Source organism: Homo sapiens, chromosome 12, assembly GCF_000001405.40.
Source record: "Homo sapiens chromosome 12, GRCh38.p14 Primary Assembly".
NCBI lineage: Eukaryota > Metazoa > Chordata > Mammalia > Primates > Hominidae > Homo > Homo sapiens.
The window spans coordinates 118,884,975-118,903,130 of record NC_000012.12 but is presented as its reverse complement, the minus strand read 5'-3'; the positions used below and the strand labels follow the sequence as shown (position 1 = coordinate 118,903,130).

Sequence of the window (18,156 nt, the reverse complement as noted above, 5' to 3'; positions counted from 1 at the left end):
TGTAGGGTGGGGGGCTGGGGGAGGGATAGCATTAGGAGAAATACCTAATGTAAATGACGAGTTAATGGATGCAGCAAACCAACATGGCATATGTATACCTATGTAACAAACCTGTACATTGTGCACATATACTCTAGAACTTAAAGTATAAAAAAAAAAGAAAGAAAAAAACCAAACTTGCCCTTACAGTAAGATTATCCTTAAAACAGTAGGTTTTCACTTTGGAAGGTCAAGGCGGGCGGATCACGAGGTCAGGAGATCAAGACCATCCTGTCCAACATGGTGAAACCCTGTCTCGACTAAAAATACAAAAATTAGCTGGGTGTGGTGGTGGGCGCCTGTAATCCCAACTGCTCTGGAGGCTGAGGAAGGAGAATCCCTTGAACCCAGGAAACAGAGGTTGCAGTGAGCCGAGATTTCGCCACTGCACTCCAGCCTGGCAACAGAGTGAGACTCGATCTCAAAAAACAAACAACAACAAAATAGTAGGTTTTGCTAATCCTGAATGAATAGGTTTAGGGCTCCTTCTCTAGCCCCACAGACCTGGTGCTCCTCCCAGAGTTCCCTTCATCCCCTCACCCACCACCAGACTAAAAGCATCTTGATGGCATGAACTATGTTTTGTTCACATCGGTGTGGCTGATTCTCAGAACTCAGAGGAATGGAACCTGTGCTTCAGGCCCACACTTATGAGAGGATCTGGCCACCAGTTTTGTTCAGATCTATTTCTCAAGATTAACCAATTATCAGCTTTGTTCTTACAAGTCAGTTGGCTGAAGTAAATGATCCTGCACTCTATCCAATTGCTATTTTCTGGTGAGAAGCCAATCCCGTTGGAAGTTCACCTGCCTCAGGTATCTAAAAAAGGACCTGGGAGCAAATCCCAGGCTTGACATTTATGTGGGAAAGTCACTTATCCTCTGTGTCTCAGTCCCTCATCTATAACATGAGGATAATAATAGTATATCTCCTGTAGACTGCTTTCAAGGAATTAAAAATAACCCATGTAATCTTTTGGCTACCTGGCAAACCTATATGAGTATTTGCTATGATAACAATGATAATGATGACATTGATTAGGACTTCATTAATAATGCTATACCTGTTCATTCTTGGGCTGTGCTGATGAGCTGGGTAACATTTACAGCAGAATAAGGAATGAATATGAGCCCAATATATATCTGGTACCCAGTGCTGACTTAAATGTAATTAGCACACTTTGGGCAGGTTGACAGGATGTTTCTGTTTCCTTGTTTATGTTTCCTTCTCCCTTGTCTTTGAGTGTTTGTATCAGCCGGTGATTTGGAATGCACAAACATTTCCTATTGACAGGAAAATCAGAGAAAGTGCAATCTCACAGCTCAGATATTAGTTCAGTTGCTCTGAGTCTTGGTGGTGTGATTGATGGGAGTTTTATTGCAAATGTAAAAATCTGCATTCCCTTCCTCCCTTGTTGGCACATCAACGTTTTGGTCGCACACAACACGTCCCAGTGCATTGAGGATAATAGACTCTAATGTCCTTGATAGCTGTGCATCAAAGCCAGTCAATGCACCATTGGCTTAGATGACAGAAATGACTGGGTCAATGACATTCACACACCCACCGCCTGGTAAAGACAACAACACTCCCAAAGCTAGAAATGGAGATTATTTGCCAATATAACATTAATTCCACCAACATTTATTAGACTCCTGTAGCAGTGAGGCTTAAGCCAGCACAGTGTCAGGCACGTGGATGGGTGTACATTCAGTTCTTGTTAAATGAGTGAATGGGTGACTAAATAAATGAATGAAAGTCTATATAGTGTGAAGTCACTGAGGAATCCATAATGCTTCCTCATTTGGAAATGGAATTTTCAAAAAGCAATCAAATCTGAAGGAAATTAGCTAGAAGCAATGAATACATGGCAAAAGCCCAAAGATGTTAGTCCAGCTGCTGCAAATATGACTAATGCACAAACCCAGGGGAGTGGATAATGCCTTGGCTGCCAAAAAAAAAAAACGACAAAAAAACCCTGAAAATCTAAAAAGAGACTTAACTCAATTTCAAGGAGAGAGTGTTTGACCATGACCCATAGGCACAAGTTGGATCTTACAGATGGGTAAACTTTGCTTCAGCTTGTGTCCTTCAAAAACCTTGATGTTATTCTACTCAGTAGCAACTGGATTATAAAGGGGTTTAGAAGCTGAGGAACTTACGAAGAGCTTTCAATCTAGGGAAGGAGAGATAAATAGATTCTAGGTTCCATGCTTAGATCCTAGCGGTGCCTAGCTACTCTATCCCCAGTAGCTAGCTCAGTGCCTGGCACACGGTACATGCTCAAAAAATAGTTGAGTGCATGAAGGAAGATATCTATAAAATATGCTATCTATCTCTATTACAATATTGTGTGTTAATCTGCTTTACTGCGAAAGTAATACATAGTGAATAATGTATATCTAGTATATCTGCATTACTTTCATGTTTCTAACAGATAACGTTTAGTCTATAACCTATAATAAGAGGTACATAATCAGAAGAGAGATACTTGTGTGGGCAGTCAGAGGAAAGACAAATGCCTTCAAATCTAGGGAAATTGGGAAAGGAGGTGGGAAATTATGAAAGAGGAGGCATCAAAGGTGGGTCTGGAAGTAAAGGCAGAGCTGAACATTGTACAATGCAGGCTGAGGAAATAGTAGGAGAAAATTTTCAGCAAAACAAAATGATAGAACAATGTTTTTCCAAGTGTATCCTAAAAAAACTCTTCGCACAAAATCACCTGGGGATAAGCATCCCTAGCCTACTGGGTCAGAGTCTCTGTTGATAGAGCTCATGAATCTGAACTCTAAAAGATGCTATAAGTCATTTTTATGTGCTACATTTTTGAGGAGCCATTTGTAGGAAGCACCTACCTCACTATTTAATTTAATCCTCTTGACTATTCAGGGAGGTAAACATGATTGTTCCCATTTGATGGCAGGTATATTGAAGCTCAAGGAAGTGAAGTGATGTGTTCAAGGTCACCCAGCCTGTAAGTCAAAGAGCGGTGGTTTAAACACCAAACACCGGACATCAAACCTTTACTCTTTCCCACTACCCTCTCTGCATACAAGGCTGAAGGACAGGCTGTATGAAGGGAAGCTGCAGGTGATGACTTTGAAAGAGTATATTCTGACAATAATAGTAGTAGAGATCAATAAAGACAATGATAGTGTTTTATATCTTTAAAAAGAAAGAAAGGACACACCGCTCTGGCTGTGGCAGACTTTATCAGGAGGCTCTGATTAATGAGCAAAGCTCTAACTCGGGCTCCCTAATAGATGCCTGTTATATCACCAGGAGATTTTCATCTCAGCGATACATTGCTATAATTTGCTTGGGCAGCAGTGTCAGTTCTGCCCCAAGTTTGATCAGGCTAGTCTCTGTTTTTCAATAAAAAGGTCAGTAACTACAAACATCCAGTATAGCAACTAGTGATCAGGAAATGAGGCCGAAGCAGCCATTAAGTAGTCATGGGGAGGCAGCTCAGAATGGGCTGTGAATTCTGGGGTTGGACATCTCATTTGTGGAGTGGTAGGCCTGGGTCTTCCTCAGGGTGCCTGGTTGATAAGAAATGTTGGTTAATAGGGAAAAAAAAAAAGCCAAAAGTAGAAGTAAATTTGTTTAGTCTTACTCACAGAGCTTCTTCCCTTATTCAATCACCAAAGAAGAGGATTGTTGATCTGGATTGGTCAGGCCAAGGAAATATTATCGGAGCAAAGTTTTCACTGGACTAAGGTTGGCAATCAGTTTCTCTCACTCTCCTCCTCCTGTTCCTCCTCTCCTGTACCAAGGTTAAAGGTACAAGGTTGTGGGTTCGGCTGACGGAGGGAATGCCAGCATCCCTCACTGTTCCAAAGCCCCACCTGCCTCCCAAAGATAGCTGGCCACCCAAAAAGCTCATAACGGGGAGACCACATCATAAACTCTGTCGAAAGAGGTCTGACTCATTCCCTCGCATCCTTCAGTTCCCTGCTCAAATGATAACTTCTGAAGGATGTCTTTGACCACCTACTAGGAATATCATCACTCATCCCACCTCCCCAGATTTCCACATGATTCCTCCCTCTTACTCTCCTTTCTTCATTACTCTTAGTGACGCCCAGTATTACATTATCTACTCTTTTGTTCTTTTGTTTACTGCCTGTCTCTTTCCACTAGACTGTAAGCTTCATGTAGTTAGAAATCTGTTTCCCCTCCATTTCCCCAAAATCCAGGACTGTGCCTGTTTTGTGGTAGACATTGCATAAATATTTGTTGAATGAAAGGACAATGTATTAGCACAAATGCATCTTCTATCACAAAGAAGTCATTTCATTCTCAGTTCTAATTGCCTTCACTTGTGAAGACACCTAAAAATAAAACTTTTTCCCCCAGTTAAATCTATCAGCAGCATTTTTCTCATCATCCCTAGGATAGCATACAAACATTTTGATGTGGTTTATTGGACCCTCTGTGTCTGCTCGAGGTTCCCCTTCAGCCCGCTCACACCTCTCTCTGCCTTGCATCTGTGCATCATACATTCCTTCAGACAGATGATAGCACCTGCTTTTCCCCAATCTCACGTCCTGCAATGTCACCCCCTCAGCCTGAAACACTCTCTTGCTTCATTCTTCACTTGGTTAATTCCTAAGCATCCTTCCACACTCCACTTAAACATCATTTCCTGGGGCTGTCTTTCCTAAATTCTCAGGCTCAGCTAACTCTCTTCCATAGCAGCCTGCATTTCCACCTTCTGTTACATTTAAACATTTGAACATTTGTTCAGTGTTTGTCTTCCCCATGAATTCCAAGTCTGTGAACTCCACAGAGGTGAGAATGGGTCGTTCTTCCTGACTGCTGACTTTTCAACATTTAGCAAAGTGTGGGAGAGAGTCAGTGCCCAATATATATTGCCTTTGTGAATGAATGCATGCATGAATATCAGAGCCCAGGAGTTAGCTCCCACTGGAATTACCTCCAAATACAGGATAAACTCAGATAAATCCCCACCCCCCTGAGATGCTGTTTGAGAATGGACCATTTTTGGTCTCAGTGTTGGCAACAGATTCTCACTCACTTCCAGTTATTCTCCAAGTCCAGCCTCTTATGAGCAGATTAAGTCTTTTTCTTGTCACCAAAGACCCCTGGCCCTGACTCCAGGAGCTGAGGCCATTACCAAGTCCATACCCTAAATGGCAAAATGTTAGAGACCTGGCTTTTTTGCAAATGTATTATTCAAGCCCTTAGCTAAGAAACAACACTTCTGTTTCTGGAGGTGAAAAATTTGCAACTAACTCAGCATCCAGAATGCTAGCAAATTTGAAGCAATCTAGAGAACTGTGCTGAAATTGCAAAGCCGGGAGGCCAAGGGGAAGAGGCCATGCTAGCTTTATATTAATAGAGAACTCCAGAGCTGGTCTGAAGGCCACAGGGGAGAAAGATAGAGGGGTTGAGTAGGGAAGAAAAACACACAGAGACTTTTATTGCTTTTGTTGAGCTCTAATTACAAAAATCATAAACACACACAAAACTCTCCCATAATTAACTGCCCAGAGAAAACAACTTTTTACATTTAGCTGCATGACCTTTTGGTACTTAAAAAGATGGGCTTGAAAGCTATGCTTATTATTTAATAGCCAGCCTTCACTGAACAATGCAGCACATATTCCTATGAGAGGCAGAATTGGCATTGGTTGAGAAAACGGACTTTGTAATCAGACAGACCTGCAACTTACTCTTACTGAACTCCACGCTAAGTTGGCAACTTTTGGCAAGACGCTTAAGCCCTAAATTCCTCATCTATAAACCAAGGACAAAAGTGGAATTGATCTCTCTGTGTCAAGAGGATTAAATGAAGTAAAATATGTTCATTATTAATACTGATCTCGGTGCACAATAGATGTTCAAGTAGCTATCACTATTGTTGGTATTATAATATATAATATTGATATAACATCAGCAATCATTTTTTTCTTTCCAGCTTTTATTTTAGGTTCAGGAGGTACATGTGCAGGTTTGTTTGTTTTGTAGGTAAATTGCATGTCACAGAGGTTTGGTCTACAGATTATTTTGTTACCCAGGTAATAAGCATAGTACCTGATAGGTAGCTTTCGGATTATCATCCTTCTCCCACCCTACATTCTCATGTAGATCGTGCTGTTTATTATCAACTTCTTCACGTGTAGTCAGTGTTTGGCTCCCACTTATACATGAGGACATGTGGTATTTGGTTTTCTGTACCTGCATTAATTCATTTAGGATAATGGCCTCCAGCTCCATCCATGTTGTTGCAAAGGACGTGATCTCATTCTTTTTTATGGCTGCATAGTTATTCCATGGTGTATATGTATCACATTTTCTTTACCCAGTCCTCTGTTGATGGGTACTTAGGTTGATTTTATGTCTTTGCTATTGTGGATAGTGCTGTGATGAACATATGCATACATGTGCTTTTATGGTAGAATAATTTATATTCCTTTGGGTATACACACAGCAATGGAATTGCTGGGCCAAATAGTAGTTTTGTTTTAAGTTTCTTGAAAAATATCCAAATTGCTTTCCATAGTAGCTGAACTAATTTACATTCCCACCAGCAGAGTAGAAGTATTCCCTTTTCTTGGCAATCTTGCCAGCATCTGTTATTATTATTATTTTTTTACTTTTGAATAATAGCCATTCTGACTGGTGTGAGATGGTATCTCATTGTGGTTTTGATTTGCGCTTCTCTAATGATTAGTGATATTGAGCATTTTTTCATATGGTTGTTGGCTGCATGTACATCTCCTTTTGAAAAGTGTCTGTTTATGTCCTTTGTCTACTTTTTAATGGAGTTGTTTGCTTTTTGCTTGTTAATATGTTTAGGTTCCTTATAGATTGTGGATATTAGACCTTTGTCGATGCATAGCTTGCAAATATTTTCTCCCATTCTGTAGGTTGTCTGTTTACTCTGTGGATAGTTTCTTTTGCTGTGCAGGAGCTCTTCAGTTTAATTAGATCCCATTTGTCAATTTTTGTTTTTGTTGCAATTGCTTTTGGCATGTTCGTCTTGAAATCTTTGCCAGGACCTATGTCCAGAATGTTATTTCCTAGGTTTTCTTCTAGGGTCTTTATAATTACAGGTTTTACATTTAAGTATTTAATCCACCTTGAGTTGATTTTTGTATATGGTGAAAGGAAGGGGTCCAGTTTTAATCTCCTGCATATGGCTAGCCAGTTATCCCAGCACCATTTATTGAATGGGAGTCCTTTCCCCATTGCTTGTTTTTGTCAACTTTGTTGAAGATCAACAGGCTTTATCTCTGGGTTCTCTGTTTTGTTCCATTGTTCTATGTTTCTGTTTTTGTACCAGTACCATGCTGTTTTGGTTACTGTAGTACAATTTGAAGTGGGCTAATGTGATGCCTACAGCTTTTTTCAATTTACTTAAGATTGCATTGACTATTTGGTCCCTTTTTTAGTTCAATATGAATTTTATAATAGCTTTTTCTGATTCTGTGAAAAATGTCATTCGTAGTTTGATACGAGTAGCATTGGATTTGTAAATTGCTTTGGCCGGTATGGTTGTTTTAACAATATTGATTCTTCCTATCCATGAGCATGGAATGTTTTTCCATTTGTGTCATCTCTGAGTTCTTTAGCAGTGTTTTGTAATTCTTGTTGCAGAGATCTTTCACCTTCCTGGTTAGCTCTATTCCTAGGTTGTGTGTGTGTGTGTGTGTGTGTGCATCTATTGTGAATGGGATTGCATTTTTGATTTGGCTCTCAGCTTGGAAATTGTTAGTGTATAGGAATGCTACTGATTTTTGTACATTGATTTTGTATGCTGAAACTTTGCTGAAGTTGTTTATCAGATCTACAAGTTTGGGCAAAAACGATGGGATTTTCTAGGTATCAAATCATATCATCTATGAAGAGAGATAGTTTGCCTTCTTCCCTTGCTATTTGGATGCCTTTTATTTCTTTCTCTTGCCTGATTACTCTGACTAGGACTTTCAGTTCTACGTTGAAAAGGAGTGATGAGAATAAGCATTGTTGTCTTATTATAGTTCTCAAGGGGAATGCTTCCACCTTTTGCCATTCAGTTTGATGCTGGCTATGGCCTTGTCATAGATGGCTCTTACTATTTTGAGGTATGTTCCTTCAATGCCTAGTTTGTTGAGGGTTTTTAACATGAAGGAATGTTGAATTTTATCAAAAGTCTTTTCTGCATCTATTGAAATGATCATGTGGTTTTCCTTGTTAGTTCTGTTTATATGACGATTCACATTTACTGATTTGCATATATTGAACCAACCTTGCATCCCAGGAATAAAGCCTACTTAATCGTAATGGATTAGCTTTTTGAAGTGCTGCTATATTCAGTTTGCTAGTGTTTTGTTGAGGATTTTTGCATCTATGTTCATCAGGGATGTTGGCCTGAAGTTTTCTTTTTTTTTATTGTGTCTCTGCCAGGTTTTTTTTTTTAAGTTCTGGGGTACATGTGCAGGATGTATAGGTTTTTTACATAGGTAAACTTGTGCCATGGTGGTTTGCTGCACCTATAAACCCATCACTTAGGTATCAAGCCCAGCACACTTTAGCTATTTTTCCTAATGTTCTCCCTTCCCCCACTCCATCCCCCAAAAGGTCCCAGTGTGTGTTGTTCCTTTCCCTGTGTCTGTGTGTTCTCATTGTTCAGCTCCCACTTACAAGTGAGAACATGCAGTGTTTGATTTTCTGTTCCTGCATTAGTTTGCTGAGAATAATGGCTTCCAGCTCCTTCCATGTCCCTGTAAAGGACATGGTCTCTTTCCTTTTTATGACTGCATAGTATTCCATGGCATATTTGTACCATTGTCTATCATTGAAGGGCATTTGAGTTGATTCCATGTCTTTGCTATTGTGAATAGTGCTGCACTGAACATTCACGTGCATGTATCTTTATAATAGAATGATTTATATTCTTTTGCGTATATACCCAGTAATCAGATATCTCGGTCAAGTGGTTTTTCTGGTTCTAGACCTTTGAGGAATCATCACACCATCTTCTGCAATGGTTGAACTAATACACATTCCCACCAACAGTGTAAAAGCATTCCTATTTCTCTACAACCTTGCCTGTATCTATTGTTTCTTGACTTTTTAAAAATTGCCATTCTGACTGGTTTGAGATGGTATCTTACTGTGGTTTTGATTTGCATTTCTCTAATAATCTGTGGTGTTGAGCTTTTTTCATAGGTTTGCTGTCCACACGAATGTCTTTTGAGAAGTGTCTGTTCATGTCCTTTGCCCACTTTTTAATGTTTTTTCTCTTGTAAATTTGTTTAAGTTCCTCTGACAAAGGTCTAATATCCAGAATCTGCTGGGTTTTAATATCAGAATGATGCTGGCCTCATATAATGAGTTAGGGAGGAGTCCCTCTTTCTCACTTTTTTGGAATAGTTTCAGTAAGATTGGTACCAGGTCTTCTTTATACATCTGGTAGAATTCAGCTGTGAATTCATCTGCTCCAGAGCTTTTTCTGCTTGGTAGGCTTTTTATTATGAATTCACTTTCAGAGCTTCTTATTGGTCTGTTTAGGGTTTCAATTTCTTTCTAGTTCAACCTTGGGAGGTTATTTTTCCAGGAATTTATCTCTTTCTTCCAGTTTTTCTACGTAAGTTGCATAGAGGTGTTCATAATAGTCTCTGAGGATTTTTTTTGTATTTCTGAGGTATTGGTAGTAATGTCTCATTTGTCATTTCTGATTGTGTTGATTTGGATTGCTCTTTTTTTCTTTATTAGTCTAGCTAATAGTCTATCAATCTTATTTATTCTGTCAAAAACAAACTATTGGTTTCATTGATCTTTTTTATGGTTTTTCATATCTCAATTTCAGTCAGTTCAGCTCTGATTTTGGTTATTTATTTTCTTCTTCTGGCTTTGGGGTTGGTTTGCTCTTGTTTTTCTAGTTCCTCTAAGTGTGACTTTAGGTTGTTAATTTGAGATCTTTCTAACTTTTTGATGTGGGTGTGTAGTGCTATGAACTTTCCTCTTAACACTGCTTTAACTTTGTCCCAGAGATTCTAATATGTTTTATCTTTGTTTTCATTGCTTTCAAATAATTTTTTGATTTCTGTCTTAATTTCATTGTTTACTCAAAAGGCATTCAGAAACAGATTGCTTAATTTCCATGTAATTGCATGGTTTTTGAGAGATCTTCTTAGTATTGATTTCTATTTTTATTGTACTATGATCCCAGAGTGTGATTAATATGACTTTTTTTTAATTTGTTGAGAATTGTTTTTTGTCCCATTGTGTGGTCGGTTTTAGAGTATGTGCCATGTGCAGATAAGAAGAAAGTATATTCTGTTGTTATTCGGTGAAGTGTTCTATCAATGTCTGTTAGGTCCATTTGGTCAAGCATTAAAAGTCCTGAATATCTTTGTTAGTTTTCTGCCTTGATGATCTGTCTAATACTGTCAGTGGGGTGTTGAAGTTTGCCATTATTATTGTGTGGCTATCTAAGCCTCTTCATAGATCTCTAAGAACTTGTTTTATGAATCTGGGTGCTCTAGTGTTGGGTGCATATATATTTAGGATAGTTAAGTCTTCTTGTTGAATTGAACCTTTTATCATTATGTAACGCCCTTCTTTTTGTTGTTGTTGTTGTTGGTTTAGTCTGTTTTGTCTAAAATTAGAATAGCAACTCCTATTCCTTTTTTATTTTCCATTTGCTTTGTGGATTTTTCTCCATCCCTTTACTTTAAGCCTATGGGTGTCACTGCATGTGAGAAAAGTCTCTTGAAGACAGCATACAGTTGGTTCTTGCTTCTTTATCCAACTTGCCACTATGTACCTTTTAAGTAGAGTGTTTGGCCCATATACATTCAAGGTTAATATTGGTATGGACAGATTTGATCCTGTCATTGTCCCGACATCATTTTTGACGGTCAAAAGTGTTATAGTAAATAGATTTGCATAACCAATCCCCTATTGTTGGATATATACATTGCTGCCATTTTACTTTTCTGGTGACTGGGTCTTTGGGATGAGTAGCAAGGCCCAGGATCCCCAGGAGAAGACAGAGCACAAGAAGAGGATGGCTTGCAGTAAATGTGCTGGTACCAACTGGTAGTAGTGTCAATGGCAGATGGGGTTCCAAGAAGGAAGGGAGAGGAGGGGAATCATTTAGAGTAGGACAAACTAGTGCTCTTTATTCTTATACCATTGTTTTTCTGGGTTGAGGACAAAAGTAATGGAACAACCCACAGCAGCCACAGTGATATTTTACAATGTAATTCAGACACTGTATCTCCTTTAAAACAAAGTCCATTTTTTAAATCTTGACCTATAAAATCCAGGATAAAGGTCTAGCACCTGTCTCCCTCTCTGTATGTCCTATCACACCCCCTTTTGCTTACACCAGTCCAACCATGCCATCCTCCTTCCTAGTCTTCAGACCTTCTATGCTCATTTCTACCTCGGCACCTTTGCACTTTCTGTGCTCTTTGCCTGGAATGCCCTCACCTCTGATCTTTGCATAATTCAGGTCTTTGTACCTCCTCTGCAAGATGTTTCCTGACCACTGTATCTAAAATAGCTTCCCTCTACACCTCTTTCCTATAATTCTTTGCATGATTTGTTTTTCTGCATAGCATTTACTTCTACGTATTTGTTCATTTTCAGTCTTCCCTATGGAAGCGTAAGCTATGTATGGAGGACCCATGTCTGCTTGTTCGCTGATGTATCCCTGGTGCTTAGAAGAGGACTTGGAATATGGTAAGTGCTCAATATATATCTGTGGAATGTATGAATGAATCTCTAAGCTGGCTTGAGGTGCTGGGACCAACAGCTATCCAAGGAGTAAAATAAATCCACATATTTCTGGTCCACAGTTGCTATGGTCTGAATATCTCTGTCCCGCCAGTATTCATACATTGAAACCTAATCCCCAGTGCGGTGGTGTTAAGAGGTGGGGCCTTTGGGATGTGATTAGATGATGAGGATAGAGTCATCATGAATGGGATTTGTGCCGTTACAAAATAGGCCCAAGGGAAATTACCCCTTTCACCACGTGAGGGTAGTGGTCTTGCTTCTAGACAGTAAGAAGTAAGTCTGCAACCCAGAAAAGGACCCTCACAAGAACTCAACCATGCTGGCACTGTCAACTTGGACTTTTCAGCTTGTATAACTGTGAGAAATTAACTTCTGTCCTTGATAAGCTATGCAGTTGATGGTATTTTCTTACAACAGCCAAACAGACTAAGACAACAGGGTACCACAGTGGTTAAGGACAGAAACAAAAGCATTCATTGGGATGCTGGCACCATTACTCCCAGATGTGTGATCTTGGGTAAATTATTTTACTTCTCTCTGCCTCAGTTTCCCTTTATAAAATAGGAATGACAATGGTGTCTATTTTATAGGGTTCTTGTAAGGATTAAATGAGATAATGCATGTACATTGCTTAGCAGAGTATCTGGGACTTAGAAAGACCTCAATAAAAGTTTTTTTATTATTCATAAATTAATTATTAAATCCTTCTCTCCTCATTGTTTCAGTCATTTATTCATTCAAATATCCACTCACTTATTTGTCCATTTTTCAATGATTTTCTCATTCTTGCTTCTATGTATTAAATCCATCCACCCTCATACATCTATCTATTCATCTATTTGTGGTTTAAACGGACATTTATCAAGCTTATTTTAAAGGATCTCAAGGCTACAGTCAGAAAGAGTAGAAATATGGGTTTAAACAGCATCAGATTTAAACACCTTTCTGTATCCAGCCCACTTGTACCCAGGGCCCACTCAAGAATGAGTGCCATGCAGGACTGGTGTTCAGCTGGTAGGCATTGGCATAGCTGTGCCCACCCAATTCAGCAGTTATTCCCAAAGCCTCCTTCTTTACAAGTCCCTAGGGTGGGGAGACCAAAGGCACTCAGGGATGATGCTGAAGATAATCATAGTGATGATGTGGCACTAAAGACAGTGTACATGGGGCTGGGCGTGGTAGCTCACGCCTGTAATCCCAGCACTTTGGGAGGCTGAGGCAGGCGAATAATGAGGTCTGGAGTTTGAGACCATCGTGGCCAACATGGTAAAACTCTGTCTCTACTGAAAATACAAAAAAATAGCTGGGTGTGGTGGTGGGTGCCTGTAGTCCCAGATACTCGGGAAGCTGAGGCAGGAGAATCTCTTGAACCCGGGAGTTGGAGGTTCCAGTGAGCCAAGATTGTGCCACTGCACTCCAGCCCGGGAGACATTGTGAGACTCCGTCTCAAAAAAAAAAAAAAATACAGTGTACATGAATTTGACTCCTACTACATGCCAGATATCAATATTATTGTAAAGGATCTCAAGGCAACAGTCAGAAAGAGTAGAAATATACACCCTTCTGTATCCCACCCAGTTGTACCTGGGGCCCACTCAGGAATGCACAACTGGCCTCCTATCTGCAACATTTTCTCCTTCTAGCCCACAGACACAGGCCCAAGGTCTCAGCCTCCATCCCTCCACCTCCCTGCAGCCCCAAGGAATCCTTTGCTCTTTCAGCCTGTACCTGCATTTAGTTTGCAAATAGAGTATATCTCTTCTGGGCCAGGAGGGCACACTTCACCCCAGCCTGAGGTGCTGCTGAAATCTCTTTATCTACTTCGTGTTAGAATATTGTGCCCTGAGGTGCCTAAAACACTCAGTGCCGAGGCCACCTCCCCCACCCAATCCAGCAGTTATTCCCAAAGCCTCTTTCTTTACAAATCCCTAGGGTGGGGAGACCAAAGGCGCTCAGCAATGATGCTGCAAATGATCATAATAATAATGATGGCACTAAAGACAGCGTCCACGAATTTGTCTCTTACTACATGCCACGTATCAAGAACAGTATTCAAACATATTTTTCACAACCAGGACAACCCAACCAGTCAGAGTGGATGCTAGCTGCAAATAACCAGCACAGCTATACCAATGCCTACCAGCTGAACATCAGTCCAGCATGGCATATCTGTCAATAAATGAAACCCCTCAGCAGGCTAGGAGGCAGTAATGTGAGCCCATTTAACAGATGCAGAAGTGGAAGCTCAGAGAGAAAAATATCACTTAGAGAAGAGATAAGCAGATCTGGGCTTTGCTGAGTCCTGAGCTCATTTGCTTACTACCCACTTTGTGCATTTACATACTTATTTGTATCTATTATGAGAATATTTGCTTTATTTGTTAAACTGTGATTTTTCTCATTCTTTAAATTTTGAAAAAATTAAAACCTACAGTAAAGTTAAAAGAATAGTTTACTGAACACATATACCCTTCAACTAGATTCATCAAATTCTGTTGCCCTCCCTCTCTCAGAAGGAAAACACACACACACACACACACACACACACACACACAGAGTCATGTGTTGCATAATGACATTTCAGTCAATGGAACACATACATGATGGTGGTTCCGTAAGATTATAATGGAGCTAAAAACTTTCTATTGCCCAGTGATGTCTTAACCATTGTAATGCTGTACTGCAATACATTACTCAAGTTTTTGTGGTGATGCTGATGTAAACAAACCTACTGCACTTCCAGTCATATGAAAGTATAGCACACACGCCCTCCTACAAAGGCATGTCTATAATTCCTTGTCTTTGGACATGTAAGAATTGGAGGGACAGAAATGTGGACTTGGAGAAATCTGGGGCCAGCTTTCTCATCACAGGCTCAACATCAACCATGCCACATAGAAGAAAAAAAATGAAAAAATATTTTACAAAAGCATAGCATATACAATTATGTACAGTACATACTTGATAATAAATGACTGTAACTGGTTTATATATTTATTCTACCATACTTCCTGTCATTATTTTTTTAGTGTACTCCTTCTACTTATAGTTTTTAAAAGTTAACCATAAAATAGCCTCAGGCAGCTCCTTCAGGAGGTATTCCAGAAGAAAGCATTGTTATCATAGGAGATGACAGTTCCATGCATGTTATTCCCCCTGAAGACCTTCCAGTAGGACACGATATGGGGGTGGAAAACAATGATGTTGAGAATCCTGACCCTGTGTAGGCCTAAGATAATGTATATATTTGTGTTTTTGTTTTCAACAAAAAAAAGTTTTAAAAAATTTTAAAAATTCATAGAATAAGGATATAAAGAAAGAAAGTGGCTGGATGCAGTGGCTCATGCCAGTAATCCTAGCATGTTGGAAGGCCAAGGCAGGAGGATCACTTGAGGCCAGGAATTCAAGACCAGACTGGGCAACATACGAGACCCTGTCGCTATGAAAAATAAAAATAGCCTGGCATGGTGGCGTGCATCTGTAGTACTAGCTACTTGGGAGGCTGACATGGGAGGATTGCTTGAGTCCAGGAGTGTGAGGCTGCATTGAGCTATGATTGTGCTACTGCATTCCAACCTGGGCATCAGAGTGAGATCCTATTTCATATATATAATATATTATATATAATATAATAATACATATTATATATATTATGTATAATATAATAATGCATATTATATATTAATATATATATTAATATATAATATAATAATACATATTATATATATTTCCTGTATAATATATATTTTTTATATATATATATATTTTTTTTGAGATGGAGTCTCACTCTGTCACACAGGCAGGAGTGCAGTGGCACGATCTTGGCTCACTGCAAGCTCTGCCTCCCGGGTTCATGCCATTATCCTGCCTCAGCCACCTGAGTAGCTGGGACTACAGGCGCCCACCACCACGCCAGCTAATTTTTTTGTAGTTTTAGTAGAAATGGGGTTTCACTGTGTTAGCCAGGATGGTCTCGATCTCCTGACCTCGTGATCCACCTGCCTGGGCCTCCCAAAGTGCTGGGATTATAGGCGTGAGCCACGCGCCTGGCCGTGTTTGTGTTTTAAGCTAAGTGTTATTACAAAAAAGGCAAAAAGTTTTAAAAAACTAAAAACATTTACAAAATAAAGTTGCAGCAAACTAAAGTTAATCTATTATTAAAGAAAGACAATTAAAAACTAAATAAATTGAGTGTAACCTGTGTGTATGGTGTTTACAGAGTCTACAGTAGTGTACAGCAATGACCTAGGCCTTCATGCTCACTCACTACTCACTCACTGGCTCACCCAGAGCAGCTTTCAGTCCTGCAAGTTTCACTCATGGCAAGTGCCCTATACAGGCATACCCTTTGTTTTTCATATTGTATGTTTACCGTATCTTTTCTATATTTAGATGCACAAATACTTACCATTGTGTTACAATTGCCCGCAGTGTTCAGCACAGTAACATGGTGTACAGGTTTGTAGCCTAAGAGCTACACAGGCTCAGTCATATCCCCATCGTTAAATGACACATACTGTATATACATACATATTTGTTATTCCATTTATAAGTAAGTTGAAACTACCATGATGGTTCATCCCTAACTACTGCTTCCAATTTACACTGATAACTACAGCCCCACACATAATCCTGTTCCTGAAGCCCACGAAAGGTCTTCCTTTACCTCCCAGCCAGAAGTGACCACACCTGTGCTCCTAGATGTGCTCCAGCTGCCTGTTGCTCACCCATGCCCCCTAATGAGAAACTCCTCACCTACAACCCTGCTGATGGGACCCCATCCCCTGACAGAAGGACCAGGGAGATCTCTGTCCCAGAGGGATCCCAGCCATGAGCTGGCAAGGGCCTGTGATTTGGGTGGGATGAGTCAATCAGATTATTCCTCTTAGCAACTTCAACTGAGAGGAGGCATCATTTCTGGGGAGTTACAGGCACTAGAACTTAAAATCTCAGGTGGACTCAGGAGCCACCGTAAAGGCTGAAGTCATGAGCAACCAAAAGGAAGATGAAACAGCTGCACAAATGTAATTTTTAAAAGTTTATAATAATAACAGCTAATATTTATTGAGCATATAGTATGTGCTAAGCGTAGCACAATTATTAACTCATTTTATATTGACAATGGCAGTATATACACTATCATCTCCCCTGTTGAGATTAAGGCACAGAGAAGCAAAGTAACTTACCTGGGGTCACACAGCAAGCGATTGGAAGAGCCTATTTTTCTTACCACCACCCTCTTGGTTCCTGGTATGCACCTTGTCCTTCCTGAGGACTACAGTTCTGCTTTCTCTGGACTCCCAAGAGATCTTTCTGCATCTTACAGCAAAGCCTCCATTGTGCTGGAGCTAAGTGGAGGGGGTTTCTATTGACTCCAATCAAAAGAAGCCTGACTAAAGCATCTACACTTGGCTGGGACTGGGTTTCCTCAAGATTAACACTCACTCTCACCATTCTGACCAATTGCCTGCAAGTTTGCAAAGGTAGACGCACATTTTCTGGGGAGCTGAGAATGAGGCATGAAGATTAATTATATATAATCCATTATGAATAATTTTATATGCACAAACTCTCCTGGATGGCTTCCTTATTCAGATGTCACTTTTGCTTCCTTTTATAAATGCAAAAGAAAATTTATCAGGACTCTCACACTTGCACTGGCGACCTTATACAACATAACCCAATTTCCCAGAAAAGAAAAGGGCTTGAATTTTCCCACCACTAAGCTTTTCAGGGAACTAAAGCTTGTTTGATTAGGGAGATACTTTTCTTTTTCTTTTTCTTTTTTTACCATACTCAGGTAACCAATTTTTAGAAAATTAGCATTCTTCAAAGTACAGATAACGCAAATGACAGCAAACATAATTGAATCTCTCTCTCTCTCTGATGATTTGGGAGGTACTTCTGAATGTCACTCCCCTTTATTCAAGACTGTAAAAAAAAATCTGTATAATAAAATTAAAGTTTTACTTTTGCTTGTTAGAGCCTTCTGGGTGTTACATGGTTGTGGGACTAAGTCCAAACATAAATGTCACATCTAGTTTCTTGGGCTGTTTATCAAAATCATCTGAGTCACATTGAATGGTGCAAGAAGACACTCGGCCCACTGTCTGGAGTCAGTCTACTGATCCTATAGTAGAAAGCCACTACCAAGCTGGTCGTATGCCTAGACTGGCTCCCTTAAACAGTGGGATATTAGCACTGAATTCCAAGGTAGTTGAAGAAAACCACGAAATTTTCATATTTGGGAGGTAACAATTCCCATCAAGCAGAGGAATTTGAAGATTCATAGTTTGTATGTCACATTGATTACACAGTGTCTTCTGCCTAGTAAGTGCTCAGTAAATGGTAAATGGT

At 39.8% G+C, this 18,156-nt stretch overlaps 1 long non-coding RNA gene and 1 other non-coding gene across 4 annotated transcripts in view; one reads left to right on the top strand and one right to left on the bottom strand.

The window, feature by feature from the left end:
- Positions 1-18,156, bottom strand: part of LOC105370019 (uncharacterized) — a 48,831-nt gene that overhangs the window by 17,154 nt on the left and 13,521 nt on the right. For 2 of the 3 annotated variants that reach the window (XR_945423.3, XR_945424.1), the window contains exons 3-4: positions 3,660-3,805; positions 2,895-3,011 (exon numbers count right to left, since the gene is read on the bottom strand). This is a non-coding gene — a long non-coding RNA (uncharacterized LOC105370019). Of the gene's footprint in view, positions 1-1,155; positions 1,323-2,894; positions 3,012-3,659; positions 3,806-18,156 lie in introns of those variants that run through there. The other variant, XR_945425.3, reaches the window with a different exon arrangement.
- On the top strand, positions 14,567-14,697 carry LOC124900328 (small nucleolar RNA SNORA38). Its single transcript, XR_007063631.1, has one exon. It is a non-coding gene; the product is annotated as a small nucleolar RNA SNORA38 (small nucleolar RNA).